We start from the raw sequence: 17,613 nt of genomic DNA, 5'->3' as shown, positions 1-17,613 counted from the left end.
CAGGGAGGGCGACAACACAGACTGGGGCCTGTTGGGGGTGGAGAAGGGGAGGGAGAGCATCAGGACAAATAGCTAATGCATGCAGGGCTTAATGTCTAGGTGACAGGTTGAAAGGTACAGCAAACCACCATGGCACACGTTTACCTATGTAACAAACCTGCATGTTCTGCACACGTATCCTGGAACTTAAAGTAAAATAAATAAAAAAAAAAGACCTTGGTTTAACACTGAAAAATAGGTGAACTTCAACCTTATAGAAGATGCTCAAAGAAATGTCCATTTACCTTGAGACATTTACAGATGTCATAGCTCCAGTATGTTCAAGATCAGTGAGTGTGTACTGTTGAAAATCTGTGGCCTGATGAAATTAAAGTTTTTCAAGTGTAATCTGATACATTTTAGGAACTGAGGTTAATTAGGTCTAAAATAGCACAATGTTATAAAGAAATTTTTGATGGGTCAAATGCTACACAGAAGACATGAAAGTACTCTGTTGCTAAATTTTCATTATTTTATATAGAAATGTTCCTTTTATGATATAGTTGAATATTTTTATCAAGATCATCTTCATGTATTCTTTCCCATAGTTTATATGAACACCACTATGCTTAGTAGGTATCCACTCAATTCCGGTGAATCATAGCAAACATGCTCTGAAATATACTGAAATAAGTAAAACGTGTTTAATTCAAAGGGGCTACACAAGCTCCAATAAATAGCCATCCACAAATTTCTAAAGTGCCCAAATGAGACAAGAGAATAGTCAACCATGATGTCAATGGGTTCTTCAAGGCTTATACATAGTACAACTTGAATCTACTTTTGTAAAGTATAAAATTATCTTTCTGTCACTGAAAATTCATGAATCATACGTAGAAATTTATGTGATGGCTCATGGTATAAGCTAGCCATTATCATGTCTCTGCCAAATTCACCAAAGACTATTGTTGTCTGCTAGTCCAAGAAGCAACGTAGGCACTTCTGAACAACTTCATTTCACTAAACACTTTATAAATGGGCTATTCCTAAAAACCTCTTAACTACTCTCCTGTTTAGAGAGCAGACACTCATTCTTTCCATTGACCTCTGACTCTTGTATGGCTTCTGCACTCCATGGGCTCTGGCATCCACTGGACTGTCCCGCATGCTAATTTTTGAAGTCTTACACTGTTGCTATCCAGCAAGCAGCCAACAATTATGCTATTTTTCTGTATTTAACTTGCATAAACAACTATACTAGAATTGTGACACTGAGTCTTGTAATTCTTTCTTTGTAAAAATAAGGATTTATTAATACTTCTCAAAGTGAATGAAGAAGTATAAAAATATACTGTCCTAGGCTGGGCGTGGTGGCTCATAACTGTAATTCCAGCATTTTGGGAGGCCAAGGTGGGTGAGGTCAAGAGTTTGAGACCAGACTGGCCAACGTGGTGAAACCCTGTTTCTACTAAAATAGAAAAATCAGCCGGGCGTGGTGGCGGACACCTTTAATCCTAGCTACTCGGGAGGCTGAGGAACAAGAATCGCTTGAACCCTGGAGGCGGAGGTTGCAGTGAGCCAAGATCACACCACTGCACTCCAGCCTGGGTGACAGAGCAAGACTTTGTCTCCAAAAAAAAAAAAAATAAATATATATATATATATATATATACATACACACATACTGTCCTAAAATTAAAGTATATGTTAGAAGCTCTTACTGATTGGCACAAAAAGCTCAAAAGAAAAAAAGATAAATATTTAATTTTATTTATTTATTTCTAAGATGAAGTCTCCGTCTGTTGCCCAGGCTGGAGGAGTGGCGCAATCTGGGCTCACTGCAATCTCTGCCTCCCAGGTTCAAGTGATTCTCCCGCTTCAGCCTTCCAAGTAGCTGGGATTTCAGGTGCTGCCACCATGCCCAGCTAATTTTTGTATTTTTAGTAGAGATGGGGTTTTACCATATTTGCCAGGCTGGTCTTGAACTCCTGACCTCAAGTGATCTGCCCACCTCGGCCTCCCAAAGTCCTGGGATTACAGATGTGGGCCACTGCGCCCAGCTGATAAATGTTTTAGTGTTAGAATGAAATATTTCTTCAACTGGCAGTTTGATATTTTACTTTAATCATATCGTTTTGAAAATATGCATTGAGATAATTACTAACTCTACTTATTTGACTAACAACTGCTGTTAGAGAAAATGTTCCATATTTGTCCATTAAGTTATAATTTGAAGTAATACGTGATTTTGAACATGGGGCTAAAGAAAAGACTTCCACATCTAGTTTTATACATGGAGAATCCATGGTAAAATGCCAAAGTTTAAAATTATTAACTAAATGTTAGTTTCTACCTTTCATGTCAGGACTTCAGAAAAGTCATATAAGTACTGTTTCAGTACTAGCTAGTCATTTGTCACTCTGAATATTTAGATTACTTAGATTTGGGGGCCATATGGGAGATTACGGTATAAATAAATGCGTAGATTTAGGTTATATAATCTACTAGTTTGTCAGTGAGTTCATGGAACTATTAATCTATGCATGTTAAACACATCCTAAAGAAACTGTAAAACTCTTCAAGCTGTAAATCCTATAAATGTCATGTTAAATACTTTACCAAAGAGGAGGCAGAAAACACAACAGTAAAAATATCACTCTAAGGTGTTTATTTAAATTTTTGTTAGATTAAAAAACTCAACTAACAGCAGTCTGTTTTTTAATTCTTAAAGGAAAAAAAAACATTTCAGTGCATTTAGGGGTTAAAAATCATAATTCTCACACTTGGCCAGCACAGAGATTACCCAAGATTCCTTACTTCTAGACTATGCCAAAGATATATATTTTGGAGAGAATGTGTATTCTCCAGGCCAACAGCTAAGGAAGGCTCTGTTATGCTTTACTCATTTCCAGCTGGCCTCTGTAAGAAATAGGAATTCCTAAATTAAGGGAAAATTGTCACTGGCAGAGCACAAATGTTTTTTCCTCAACCAATATAATAGACAATCTTATAGAACCTGATATAATCTGTAATGATAAGTGCCAATCTGTAACAAGGTTAACAGCATAGACTTGGGTAATTTGTCTTTGGGAATAATGGATTATTCCAAAGTGGTTTAACAAGAAATAGCATTCACAGTGGAGAGAGGACCTCATAAGGAAACCAAATGATGACTTCTACTGGAAATTATTAGCGCTGCATTCCTATTCATTTATGTATATGTTTGGCAGTTCTATCTTTCAACTTTTTAATAAAGTGAGTGTGAAACAAGCATACTAAAGAACAAAAGTTAGGTTTGTTTTTAAAGATTTGCTATTCATTTTGGTCTGTGTTTCAGTGTCTTTTTAAAGCAATTTGTCTGCCTTATTTAACACATGGATATTTGGAATTGAATCCATTCCTAGAGGTCAGGCATTTGAGGGTGTTTTTTTGTGTATGTGTGTGTATGTGTTTAATTAATTCATTATTTTTTTTGGATCTAACATTCAAACTCTTCTTGCCTCTTTAATGAAAATGTTTACATATATTTATAGCAAATCAAGGAAATGTGTGTGACAAAATCAAACAGATTGCTTATGAATGATTTAGAAAGAACTGAATATGTTGTGAAAGGACTGTCAAAATAATCAAAATGTGTTTTAAATCAAAGTGTACACTGATCACCACAACAATGGAAGAAAAAAATGATGTTTGCATTAAGAAGTAATTAATAGACACAAAGTCTTGGGCACACTTGCAATTCTGTGAGAACTCAGATCAGAAATCAGTTTGCTAAAGTGAAAAAAGTATATCAAGACATTTCTATTTTATTACTGTCATTCCAGTGAAACATCTTCCCACCAGAGAGAACTTTTTGGAATGACAATCATTAAATTTCCTTTTCAAATAAAATACTTTCCATGTCTAGTCCAACAATTGTATGTCAAAAGTGGATCAGATCCCTCTGTGGCCATGTGAGAGAGAACTGTGTGTTTTTTGTTCTGTTTTGTTTAAATAAGTAAAGTCTTGATTTAAAATAGCACAGATAGCATTTTATAGCTATATTTAACTTATTCCAACTTAGAATAAACACGTATTTGCCAATTCAGGAGAAAATTCTTAAATGAGCTTTGCTTCTATCCACCACTTCTTTTCTAAGGTAGATAATGGCTATCTAACCTGATGGTGGGTATTCCAGCCAAACGGATTCAAGACGACACAAAAGAAGTCTGCCTGTTTCCTTGAAACTCAACTTTTTTAAAAACTGTTTTTGGTCTCAAGTATTCTGTTATTAAAGTAAGGGTGAATTTACTTAAAAACATATTTTCAAATAGTTTGAGTTACGATATAGGAAAAGGTGAAGAGAGTTGTATGACTACGAAAATTATGTTGATTAACTTTCATGGAAAATATCAGTGAATAAATCTTTTGTTGTAAAATATATGAAATCTTAGTTGTTATCAAATTAGAGTCAGAAAAATCAACCCATAAATATATACACTTACTGTGTACCCCCCAAAAATTTTAAAATAATTTAAAATTTTAAAAAATACAATGCTTAAATATGTAATACTTTTTAAATTTTTTTTGCTTACACATATAGTACAATGTTCTGGTTGCTGAGATATTTTTGAGAAGGGTAAAGGAGTTAAGATTTTCTTACTGAAATGGCAATAATGTAAGACAATAATTGTGAAAAACTAATGTAATCAATATGTACCAAGGAGTTCTAAGGCTGTCATTTATTGATGAAGCCCTTTGAGAAACTAGGTACTCCAGCTGGTCTTTGAGGACTTGGATTGTTGGAAGAAACAAATTGTAGGCAAAGAGAACTGTATAAACAAAGACATAGAGACTGTAGAAGTAAAAACTGCTCAGGCGTGAGCTTAGTGGAAACACTTGAGTTAATGAAAATGATGAGAAAATTCTGGAGACGTAGGTTAGGTTACAATACAGAAAGCTTTGAGCCACAGTATCTGGTAGTTGACGCAATCAATGGTGGATCTCTGGAAGTACTTAAGAGTATAGGAAAGAATGATGCAACCATCTCGTGAATAGACGGAGCTGTGGGAGGAGGAGTATGCAGGTAAGGAAACTGTTACTCTAATTCTGGTGAAATATAGGAAGGGATTGTGGTATTATATTGGGAATTAAGAGCAACTGAGGCAAAACCCTACTTGTGTATAGAGGAAGAAGTGCCAAGGATAGCTTCTAGCCTGGGTAGGTAGGGAGAGGATTTTGAAATGTTTTGGAAAAAAAAAAAAAAAAGAAACTGGAAGTGGGCTGTAGTCTTGAGAAAATAAGATCAGGAATTTTGGGTTAAATATGTATATTTTAAAGATGAGGGCCGGGCTTGGTGGCTAATGACTCATCTCAGCACTTTGGGAAGCCAAGGCAGCCAGATGGCTTGAGCCCAGGAGTTTGAGACCAGCCTGAGAAACATGGCAAAACCCCATCTCTACTAAAAGTACAAAAATCAGCTGGGTGTGGTGGTGCATGCCTGTAGTCCCAGCTACACAGGAGGCTGAGAAGGAAGGATTGTTTGAGCCCAGGAGGCAGAGGCATGCAGTGAGCTGAGATTGCACCACTGCACTCCAGCCTGGGCAACAGAGCAAGACCCTGTATCAAAAAAATAAATACAAATACAAAAAAAATAAATAAAAATGAGGAGTTATTGGAATGCCAAAAGCACTTTCCTAGGGCAGCTGAAGTTTGAGTTGAGACTAAAGATAGGGTACTCTCAACTCCCTCTGATTCAGTCCCCATCACATGGAATATTTTTAAAAATACTTTTTTTTTTCTGTTTCTCATGATTTCTCTCTTGCTCCTCTGAATAACCCTTTCTCAGTTCCATCTGCCGCAGCTGCTGCTTCTCTCACACACCTTTACAGAGGGAGTTTCTCAGAATTGCATTTTTTTCTTCTCATGCTACACTCTCTCCCCAGGTACACATATACTTTGAAATTTTAAACACCGTTTAGGTGCTGATAACTCAGAAATTTCTATTTCCATCCCATACCTCTCCCCTAGTCTGCCTACTACTCACCAGTATTTAACTATCTGATGAGCACATTGAAACATAGTCCAAAATAGAATTCACAATCTTCCCTTTCAAACTTAATCTTTCTCCAGGGGTTTCTGTCTCATATCACAAACCACCAGCCATACAAGTTGCTCAGGCCAGAAAACTAACCTGGGAGTTCTCCTTAACACCTCCTGCTTTCTTACCTCCCACTACAGATAATCAACCCAAGTTCTTTTCATTTTAATCTCATAAAAAATTCTCAAACTCAACCATTTCTCCCTAGCCCCACTGATACTACAATTCGAATATAGCCAGCACTTACATAGTTACTGTGTATGTGACACTATTCTCAGAATTTTCCATGAATTATTTCATTTGGATTCATTAACTTAGAAGATACAGAATTCAAACCAGATATACTGAGCTATCTTACCTCTTCTAGTCCCAAGTCCTCAATTCTCTCCTAAAACTCTATAGTATTTTCACATCTCCCTGTATCCATAATATCAATCATTCTCAATAGTATAGCCTGAAAAATTGTAAGGATTAAAAAAGTAAGAATTTTTTAAAAATTCCAGATAGAAACTGTTAACGAGTTTTATAAAATTAAAAGTAATTCTATAGATATGGTAAAATTATAAGTAAAAAAATTCATTTCCCTCAATGTAATTCAAATAAAATGTTCTTTGTACATCTGTGTAGAAACATTTTAATATGTATATGATTAACAAACCTATGATAACCTTTGTTGACACTACATAACTCTCCTGCATGACATTTACTTACTTAATAGTAGGTCTTGGAGAAATTTTCTTATCAGCATGTATTTATCTATAAATTTTTTTAAAAGCTACAATATTCTACTGTTTAAAATAGCATCATGAGTTCTATAACTAGTTAATGGACACACAGATTGTTTGCAAATTTTTCTTGACTTAAAGCTACAGCAATGAGCAACTTCATAAATATGGTTAGCAAATTATGCAAAAGTGCTCATAAGGAAAATCTTTTGTTAAACATTTTTTAAAATGTTCATAAGGAAAATTTTTGCTGAGTCAAAGAATGTATGCATTTCAAAATGAGTTGTAATTTTTTTCCACCTATCAAGTTGGTGTAAAAAAGTGATAACATCCAATATTAGAAGTGCTGTGCAGAAAGAGATACGTGAACGCAATTGGACTCAGTTACGTAGCGTCTGCACCCTTTAAATGGAGCTTTCTGGTTGCCCCCTGATATCCCTCACTCCACTTCTCCCATATTACTTCTGTGTGTGCATGTTTACTTGTAAACATATTTGTTAGATTTATTTATTACGCTCTATATACTTATGCATATTTTGTCCTATAGCACAGACCTATAGATATATATTTTTCTTTTTTTTTTTTTTTTTTGAGACGGAGTCTCGCTCTGTCGCCCAGGCCGGACTGCGGACTGCAGTGGCGCAATCTCGGCTCACTGCAAGCTCCGCTTCCCGGGTTCACGCCATTCTCCTGCCTCAGCCTCCCGAGTAGCTGGGACTACAGGCGCCCGCCACCGCGCCCGGCTAATTTTTTGTATTTTTAGTAGAGACGGGGTTTCACCTTGTTAGCCAGGATGGTCTCGATCTCCTGACCTCATGATCCACCCGCCTCGGCCTCCCAAAGTGCTGGGATTACAGGCGTGAGCCACCGCGCCCGGCCAGATATGTATTTTTCTAATCCATTCTGCTATTTGTGTTTCATTGACTCTTCATTTTAAGGACTTCAAAATACATTTCCTTGGACTACACACATCATTGACACTGGATTATTACTTTTACTTGCATGGTGAGAGCATTTTGATATTCCAAGAAACCTGTTGTTACTTTGGTACATTTTACAAATGTGGAGTTTGAGGCTAGGGGGACTAAGGAACTGTTCCTCTGCAAACAAGATCAACACCAATCTGAAACCCTGGTTGTGTAGATGCTGGAGTGCCATCCAGTCATCCTGAAGCAAAATCTCAAGGCCAGAACCCCCAGCTCAGGGCCCATGGCTCTGTTTGTTAAAAACATTTTGTTAATTTTTTTTTTTTTTTTTTAGATAGAGTCTTGCTCTATTCCCAGGCTAGAGTGCAGTGGCACGATCTCGGCTCAATGCAGCTTCCATCTCCTGGGTTCAAGCAATTATCATGCCTCAGCCACCCAAGTAGGTGGGATTACATGTATGTACCACCATCACTGGCTAATTTTTGTATTTTTAGGAGAGTCAGCGTTTTGCCATGTTGGCCAGGCTGGTCTTGAACTCCTGGCCTCAATTGATCTTCCTGTCTTGGCCACCCAAAGTGTTGTGATTACAGGTGTGAACCACTGTGCCCAGCCTGTTTGTTACATTTTAAATCCAAAGACCTCATGTGATATCTTTCTAATTGGCTGATCATTTGTATACTTTTCTTGTGTCTTAAACTTGTATTTCTCTAGTTATCCTGGTTATCTGGTTATGTCTATCTCTGGATAGTCTCTAGTAGTTGATGAACACATATTTCACCATATCTAAGTAAAATACACTCAATGTTAAGACTACTGCTTATAATTTTATAAAATTCATATCAAATTCTCATATTTGTTCATGTGAACATACCTGCTCACCCCCTGCAACATAGAATCCTTTTGAGGTTCAACATCACAAAAATGAGATTTAGCATGTATGCTCCATCCTTCTATAAGGAATATCAAAAGTAACTCCATCACATTTACTTTCTGAATTAATCTGAGATATGGTTTAGGAGATGAAATTATAGATTCCCTATTACGCTGCATAAGAATAGTGATCAAAAGTATTATTTTAATAGTCTAGTAATTGTGCTAGAAGCTATGAAGAAGGAAATATTATTAAACCCTCTGGATTTTATTTTTACAATATTTCTCTTGCATTTTCCAAAATAAATGGCATTAAACACATGTTCTTATATTTGCATTTATACTTATGTATGTGTTGCACATACACACACGTAGGGGAGAGAGAAAGAGAGAGAGATACTATCTCAGTCTCTCTGAAGTATACATTTTTTTAGGGTAGCATATATAACAGCATATGTGCCTCATTGTCCTTAAGTTAATGTATTTCTGCTCTGATCGATCATATCAGCCAATGTACTTGACTGTTTTCAGCAATCCAAACATTTTAGAAATTCATTTTTAAATTTTGTATATCTAGTGGCAATAAATAAGACTCTCAGGAGATTTTCAAAATAAAAATAACAGCAATGCAAAAAAAAATCCATTCTCTTTAGTGCAAAGAGACAGAGACAAAACAATTTGATAGTCATTGTTTAGGAAATTTTGCATGGTTTCTCCAGATATAATGGTGAGTAGCAAGTTTTGTAAGTACTCAGTGGATATATCTAAACAACAAAATGGAAAGTCTTTCTTGAGGAAAGGGATCCTACTTATTACTGACTAATCTATTTGTTGTGAACAGTTTTCAAAGAAAATAAAATGTAAAATGTTTCTTTTTTAGGATATCTTGGGATAGGTTTTTTCAATGTCCAAACGCTTTAAAATTAAGCTCACAATCTTTGATTTCTTTAGATGATGGACTGATCTGACAATGAGAGCTTTCGGTGTGATAGTTTTCTATTTTAGGGGATAGCTGTTCACATTTTCCTGTCTTACATGATTATTTGTAATTACAAAAATTGTAAGCAATTACCTTCTCCAAACATCAGTATATTTGCAGACATAATTAGAAACCAATTTTGAATAAAATGCTAACCTATTTCAGGAATAATTCCCTATGTTATAGATAATTTCAGTTTAGTTTCAATCTACACATTTTCTCTAGCTAGAAAAAAAAATTTACATAACTATTCTTTGAAAGTTGAATAATCTAATGTGAAGTCACCCAAAGTGTATTATGTTAAATAACAAATTAGCTATGTCCTCTGCAAAAGCGATCTTTGGTATAAAGCAGAAAGAAAGGAGAAATACTTTAGTTTCCTCTTTGCGATTTACCAAATACAGTAGAATATTAAAAGACCTGAAAAGTCCTACAGCAAAGATATTTGATTTTCTTTATTTAACACCAGCATTTTTCATACATAGAGACCACATCCCCAAGGAATGAGCTCTCCATGGAACAAAATTTTGGAAATGCTAGCCTAAAGAATTTTTGTTTTTTTTTTTGAGACAGAGTCTCACTCTGTCACCCAGGCTGGAGTGCAGTGGTGTGATCTCCACTCACTGCAACCTCTGCCTCCTGGGTTCAAGCAATTTTCTGCCTCAGCCTACCCAGGAGCTGGGATTACAGGCACCCGCTGCCACGCCCGGCTAATTTTTTTTGTATTTTTGGTAGAGATGGAGTTTCATCAAGTTGGCTAGGCTGGTCTTGAACTCCTGACCTTGTGATCCACCCACCTCGGCCTCCCAAAGTGCTGGGATTACAGGCGTGAGCCACCGTGCCCAGTCAAGAATTGTCAGATTAATATGTATTTGATCTTATAAAAATAATGACATTCAGGCCTCTGGCATATACCAATTTTACTAATGTGTCTACTTGACAAGATATTATTTTCCTAATTGTGTTTATTTTATTCTCTAGTTTCAGTGGATACTTAACATTTTCTATTTTTACATTCTACTAGAGTATTTAATTAGGTTATTTGCTTTTGCTGCTAATTATTCCCTTAAATTTAAATAAGTATCCTTTCAACAAGGGATTGAGTTTCCCTCTAATAGCCTGCTTCATTTAGTTATGTTAAAACTAGGAAGCTATACAAATTCTCACTAGGACTCTGGACTCCCTGCAAGTTGATTTTAATTGGGGTAGTGTATTTGCCATCATTGGTCAGTATAGGCATGTTGGAATCCATAGTCCTAAGGTCTAGCCTAGCCCTGGGGCAGCAAGAAATCCCCCTTTAAAATTTTTGGTTCTGGTAATTTTTGTACCTTTTGGCAATGTAAAGAAAAAAACAACAAAAGCAAAAAACATTAGACATCAGGGGTGCATGATCAAAACAGTGTTATCTAGTCAGTTACTTCAGTATATTCTTGATTGTATCAAGGTTTCAAATTTCTTTCAAAGACTCACTGAGTTTTCCTTCAGTGGAAAGAAATGTCCTCTATGATTATTAAAAAAATGCTACCAACTGTGATAAGTCTGACATACTACTGTCAATGTTAGTTTTAAGAAGTGACAAGCTTCTGTATAGAAAAATAGAAGGCAGTGTAAAGGTGTTCCTATTTCTCCACAGCCTTGCCAGCATCTGTTGTTTTCTTGAACATTTTAATATCACCATCCTGACTGGTGTGAGATGGTATCACACTGGGGTTTTGATTTGCATTTCTCTAATGATCAGTGATGTTAAGCTTTTTTTCATGTTTGTTGGCTGCATAAATGTCTTCTTTCGTGAAAGATACATGCACTCATATGCTCATTTCAGCACTATTCACAATAGCAAAGACATGGAATCAACCCAAATGCCCATCAATGATAGACTGGATCAAGAAAATGTGGTACATATACACCATGGAATACTATGCAGCCATAAAAAGGAATGAGATCATGTCTTTTACAGGGACATGGATGGACCTGGAAGCCATCATCCTCAGCAAACTGACACAGGAACAGAAAAGCAAACACTGAATGTTCTCACTTATAAGCAGGAGATGAACAATGAGAACACATGGACCAGGGAGAGGAACAACACACACTAGGGCTTGTTGGTGAGGCAGGGGGAGGAAGAGCATCAGGATAAATAGCTAATACATGCAGGGCTTAATACCTAGGTGATGGGCTGATAGTGCGGCAAACCAGTATGGCACACATTTATCTATGTAACAAACCTGCAGGTCCTGCACATGTATCCCGGAACTTAAAATTAAATTAAAAAAAAAAAAGAAAATAGAGGACAGATGGTCAGGCCAAAGATCCTATGAGCCTACAGCCTATTAATTTACTGAGAGCTTCAAATTTACACACCTTAAGAATCCAATATAACAAAAAGTAAGAGAAAATGTTTTCTTTAGGGATATGTGAAATGGCGCAAATCAAGTCACTTGTATTGACTGCTGGCCAATCTGAATATAGGTAAGGCTCAAAATGACAAGGTAATAAATCTTGTATTGTCTTTCTAGACTTGTTTTAAGTATGTACGTAAGGAATGTTTTTGTTAAATTGTTGTTTCTTTGATCTTGCACTTGTTATGAGTTGTTCTAATTTAATAATTATGCAACAGGAGAACACTTTAAGGTTATAATGCTTGATTATGCAAAGCACACTTAAAGAGCTGGCATAACTAATTAATTTGTACTTTTTTTGAACTTTTTTAAACAATTAGAGTGCTAACAACTTAGGAATACTTATTTGCTTATAGTTATTACAGATTCCTATGACAATATAATATATGAAGTGGATTTCAGTAACATCAATAATATTTATGGTAAGAAATTATTTTTACTAGAAATAATCCAGATATATACAGGTCTTTAATTATAAAAATAAATTACTAAGTAGTCAATATATTTTTTTTCAGCCAAAGCATTGTTCCCATAGAAAATGAGAAAACAATTTATTGTAGAACACCATTTTGAGATTTGTAACTAAGGAAACTAGAAAATTTTCACTATGAGCATGAGCTCAGAATACGTAGAATTCCCATTAACATAAATCTAATTTTTATTGCTAGAAAGCAGGTATCTAGATAAGTATATTTTGCTTATTCATTAGGAAAAAATTAGTTTTTAGATTCTTCATTTGTCTAATTCCTCTCCTATTCAATACAACATGCTGAATATAATTGTGATTTCCTTTTGGAGGATAAGTTAAAAATTACTCATTATACTGCAGGCTTTGTATCTATCACTTCTAAACAAATATATACCCAACTGGCTGGGCTGTATAACTAAATCATCCAAAATGATTTACTGTGCTTCCAGCATTATTTTAGATTATGTCATTTCAAAAAGGCTCATAAATCCCCTGTCCAAATATCTGTTAATATGTCATAACTTTATATGTGTCCAAAACTAATCATTTCCTAGAATTTTAAAGGAGTAAGTTTGAATTGTAGAATATAAATATAAGAATAAACCAGGAACAATTATGTGCAATTTTAAGGTGCCTTGTTTCTCAACAGAATTCTGTTGAATAAGTTTAAATCACTTGTTAATACTGCATGAAAGGGTTAACTCTATAAAACTTCATAAATAATCAGATCCTGTAAAACAGGTAGATAAAATAGTACTCTTTTTTTTTTTTTTTTTTTTTTTTGCTTCTCTGCTGGTCTCCAGTAATGAAAATCAGGAGTTGCAGAAGTTTAAATAAAGGAAGGAAGGTCAAATTCAGACCAAAAAAAAAAATGTCATTTCATTAAACATTAGAGACAATGTTATTTTTCAAGTCAGTGTTCCATACTAAGAAGAGCTTAAATGAGTGAATGAAGATTTAAGTTGGCAGGAAATGTGTGTAATGTTCTTTTCTCCCAAGAAAGATCCGAAGAACATGTCTATAGCAGAGAGAGATATAGTCAGAACGTGGCATATAATTGTGTAAGTTAATGCAAGCCAGGGCAAAGCAGCCACATTGTATGTGTCCTATTTTTGCCATCATTGTAATCCTGATGAAATAAACGTGAACATTTTTCAACAAAGGCTGCATTACTTTTTCTTAGAAATCAAAGGCAACAATTTTATGACGTAAGTTTCACTCTTTGCATATACCTTAATCTGTTTTTCCCCCTCAGAAGCCCAGAGCAATTTTTCCACTATTTACACAAAACCACCCAAAATATATATGATATAAATCATGTAGGCTGATACAAATGCAGTGAACATAGTTTGAGGCATAAGCCATCTTTTCAGTCATCCTCCATTTAGTCAATACTACCTTTGCCCAATAGCAGTCAATGATTCTTAGGCAGTGGGAGAATCTAAGGATGTATTTTCTTTTGATTCTCCCAGGGACTCATCTATATTATTAAGGGAGGAGCAGGTTTTCAGTGCTAGCTTTATAAAAAAATTGTACATTTAATATTCCTGATTAAAGTAAATCCAAGGCTGAAGTCCACTTTAGTATTGACACTTTAAAAATAGGGCAGACTTTGCGTGAAACTGACAGATTAACTGACCTCAGAGGAGCACAGAAATCCACCTACAATCACATACATCTTGTTGCTATTCCTGTTTCAAGGACACAGCTGATAAGAATAAGAGATTTGTGTGTTTTCTCTGTCCCTGAATACTTTAATCACTGAAACTTAATCATGGCATTCATTATTCCTTTTCTCTGTAATTATTTTGGGATGGTCTTCATTTTAACATGAAAGTAATGTCATAGAAGTATAAAATGAAGGGTGAAACCAATAAAATTCACGTGGAGCCACTGGTTTTAATTTGTGCACACTGTTTGAGTCTGTGATGCTGAGATCGTTATAATGAAAAAGGAAAGAAATGGCTTTAAGGAAAAAAGCACTTATATTCATATAAAGTCCGAAAGTAGACAAACAGAAGCACTATTTACTGGATCTTCTAAGTTACCAAACAAAGAAACAAACAGGCCAACAAGCAAAGGTTAAAAGGCCAGGAATAAAGATGAATACAATCTTCTTTGGGTATATGAGGGCATTGGTTTTAGGACAGCCCAAGTATAATCAAAGTCCATGCAAACTTGAGTGGGTCCTGCAGAACCCACATATGCAAAAAGTCAGCCCTCCTTAAAGTGGGTCTCACAACCAGGAAATATTGTATTCTTGATCCGCCTTTGGTTGAAAAAATCCATATGTATGTATATCCGTGTAGTTCAAATCTGTTTTGTTAAGGGGTCAACTGTATTTGTTGAAGCTATTCTTTTCTTTCCTCACTCACAAAGGCTATGTTCTAGTTGGGTAGCCATACAGTAACACCACAAAACCAATTAAAAGTAATTCAATCCAATTATATTTAAGAATTACATACATATATTCATAAAACTGAAAAAAATTTTTTTTAGTTTAGCATAAAAAACCACAATCAGTGTTCCCTATGATCTCCCTAGTGAACTTTGGTTTTAACTAAGATTTAACCCAGAGGCCACACAGTAGGCACGTTTCATTAACCAAAAGTAATAGTATTTGTCAAGCAAATAGGATTTGCTAGCCGTATTTCCACATGCAGCATTGTATGAGCTTATAATTCTGTGTCACATATTATAATAAAACTTGAATCTTTTGGGTTTTTTTGCAATTACATCTTCTGTATTTTATAGTTAGTTGGAGGTTAACAACAACTAACATTTAAGTTTTTCATTTTTTTTTTTTTTTTGAGTTTCACTCTTGTTACCCAGGCTGGAGCGCAATGGCGTTATCTTGGCTCACTGGAACCTCCACCTCCCGGGTTCAAGCAATTCTCCTGCCTCAGTCTCCCTAGTAGCTGGGATTACAGGCATACACTACCATGCCCAGCTAATTTTGTATTTTCAGTAGAGACGGGGTTTCTCCATGTTGGCCAGGCTGGTCTCAAACTGCTGACCTCAAGTGATCCACCTGCCTTGGCCTCCCAAAATGCTGGGATTACAGGCGTGAGCCACTGCGGCTGGCCTACATTTAAATTTTTCTATTTATCACCAAAGTTGGAAAAATATAGCTCAGTTTTTTACGTGGTTTGTAAATATTTTCAGAGCAGAATGGTTTCATTCTAAGAAAATATCTAGAATTTCACTAGCCAAAAGAAACAAATGAGTTCCTACAATGGAAAGGGAGCAACAGGTGATTTTCCCTGCCCTCTTGCTGCTAGTACTTTTTCTTCTTCCTTATTCTATCCTATATCTTCAATGATGAATGAAAAGTTGCTATACATATACACTAAAGAACTTATCCATGTAACCAAAACCTCCTGCTCCCCACAAACTATTGAAATAAAATTAAAAAAGGAAAAGTTGTTATACATATAGCTTGAAAACACTGTTCCATTTTCATTATTTGACTCATATGGAAACAAAGACACAAAGGCATTAATTCAGTGGCTTAACCACTTTACCCATCTATGCAAAGAGGGAGTGAGAATTGTCCTCCGTATCTCTTGACTTCCAAGCCACTGTCTTTCCCTATTATCCTGCTCTATTTGTCTCCCTTAGAATTAAGGAAACAAATCTTGAACATAAAATAAATTAGTTGTAGTTAATTTAGAATTCTGTGCTGCCTCAAAGTTTTTTATTCTGAAGTGTGAAGTTTCCTTATGTGATTCACCAGTCAAAATTCCCATGGATTGAGCTGAATATTTCTCACTGCTGTAGTTAGGGATCGATTTATGTTGTTTACAAAAGCATCCTTTTAGAGTTCAAATGTGAATTTTGAATGTTGTAAGTAGTAGAAAGAGAGTCTAGTTTACTGATAACTCAGATGCAATATTAATATGCAAACTTTTCTTAGAGACAAAAGGCATACATAATCATGAGAAAATAGCTTATATTTCAAATGCCATGGATTGCTTTGGGGCAACACTGTGAAAGTGGGATAATCACAGTATTTTCTATATTGAAAATATTTCTCCCAGAAAGCCCTTTAGGGTTATTTATGAAAAACTATTATACTCCTCTCCATACCCCAGCAGCCATCACTTTCTTTTCTCTTTTATACAATAAAAGGGGAAGGAGAGAGGATTTATTATGTCTCATCTAAAGCATTATGACCATCTAAGCATGGAACTAAGCCCTATAATTTTATGATTTCATGATAGTCAGTATATAATATCACAGCTGAAAGTGGGATAATTGATTCATATTTACATTTCTGAAAAATATGTGAGATCTATTTTCACCCCAAAATGATCAGAATTTTATCTTAAAACATGGGTTTTATTAGTATTTCATAGAATGAACAGGTCAGACATTTTCTACAGCCCTATATGAGGCTCTACTTTACTCATATAAACTTTAAATAGGCATTACTGTTATCGTGAATTAAACTTACTGTTCATTTTCCATATAAATTGTGTTCACTTGATTTGACCAAAGGATGTCAACATTTTGTTCCTTTCCATTTCTACCATACACAACTCCCAAAATTGGTGGGAAAATGACTGTCTTTTATCTAGTAAGAGCTGAGTTCCCTTTATTTGGTTCTTCTGCTACCTTACTTAATTATATTTTGAATTGACTTGTCTGACAGTATTCTATTTGTTTAGATAGTTTTATGCAACAATATTCTGAGAACTATATGAATAATTAACAAAAAAGCAATAATGACAGCTATTATTTTTTGATAGCTTCCTTTGTGTCAAGTATGGTGCTAAGTGCTTTGTACATTTTATCTTCATTTTTAACACAGTTTTATAGAGATCATGATCATGGACAGCCAGCCAGAATCTGCCCCATATCCCATGATGTTTAATTCTACTCTCCTTCCCTCCTAAACTCCATGCTATGTGGTTATAGTACCCAGGGCAATGCTGACATTATTGAAACCTATTACTGAGAATATACAGAATGGTTCTCACCTTAGACCAGTCACCCATTCGCCACACATAGCATTTTGAATAATCCTCACAGTCTTCAGCCTCCCTGGGTCTGGTAGAGAGGACACACTTCTTTCTTGGGTTGGTACATCTAACGGTCCGATGACGTATGCCTTTGCCACACTTGACTGAACACTGGAAGATAACATCAGAGGTTTTAGATAAAGTTGGTGAATTGGAGATATAG

The 17,613-nt window shown here is 35.4% G+C and overlaps 1 protein-coding gene across 11 annotated transcripts in view; it reads right to left on the bottom strand.

Moving 5' to 3' along the window:
* The window catches only part of ADAMTS19 (ADAM metallopeptidase with thrombospondin type 1 motif 19), a 278,386-nt gene that overhangs the window by 16,884 nt on the left and 243,889 nt on the right, over positions 1-17,613 (bottom strand). For all 11 annotated transcript variants that reach the window (XM_047416876.1, XM_047416878.1, XM_047416877.1 and 8 more), the window contains one exon: positions 17,409-17,561. In XM_047416876.1, coding sequence (XP_047272832.1) covers positions 17,409-17,561 — 153 coding nt within the window. The remainder of the gene's footprint in view (positions 1-17,408; positions 17,562-17,613) is intronic.

This window comes from Homo sapiens, chromosome 5 (assembly GCF_000001405.40).
Source record: "Homo sapiens chromosome 5, GRCh38.p14 Primary Assembly".
NCBI lineage: Eukaryota > Metazoa > Chordata > Mammalia > Primates > Hominidae > Homo > Homo sapiens.
The sequence above is the reverse complement of the archived record's forward strand: the minus strand, read 5'-3'. Positions and strand labels throughout refer to the sequence as shown.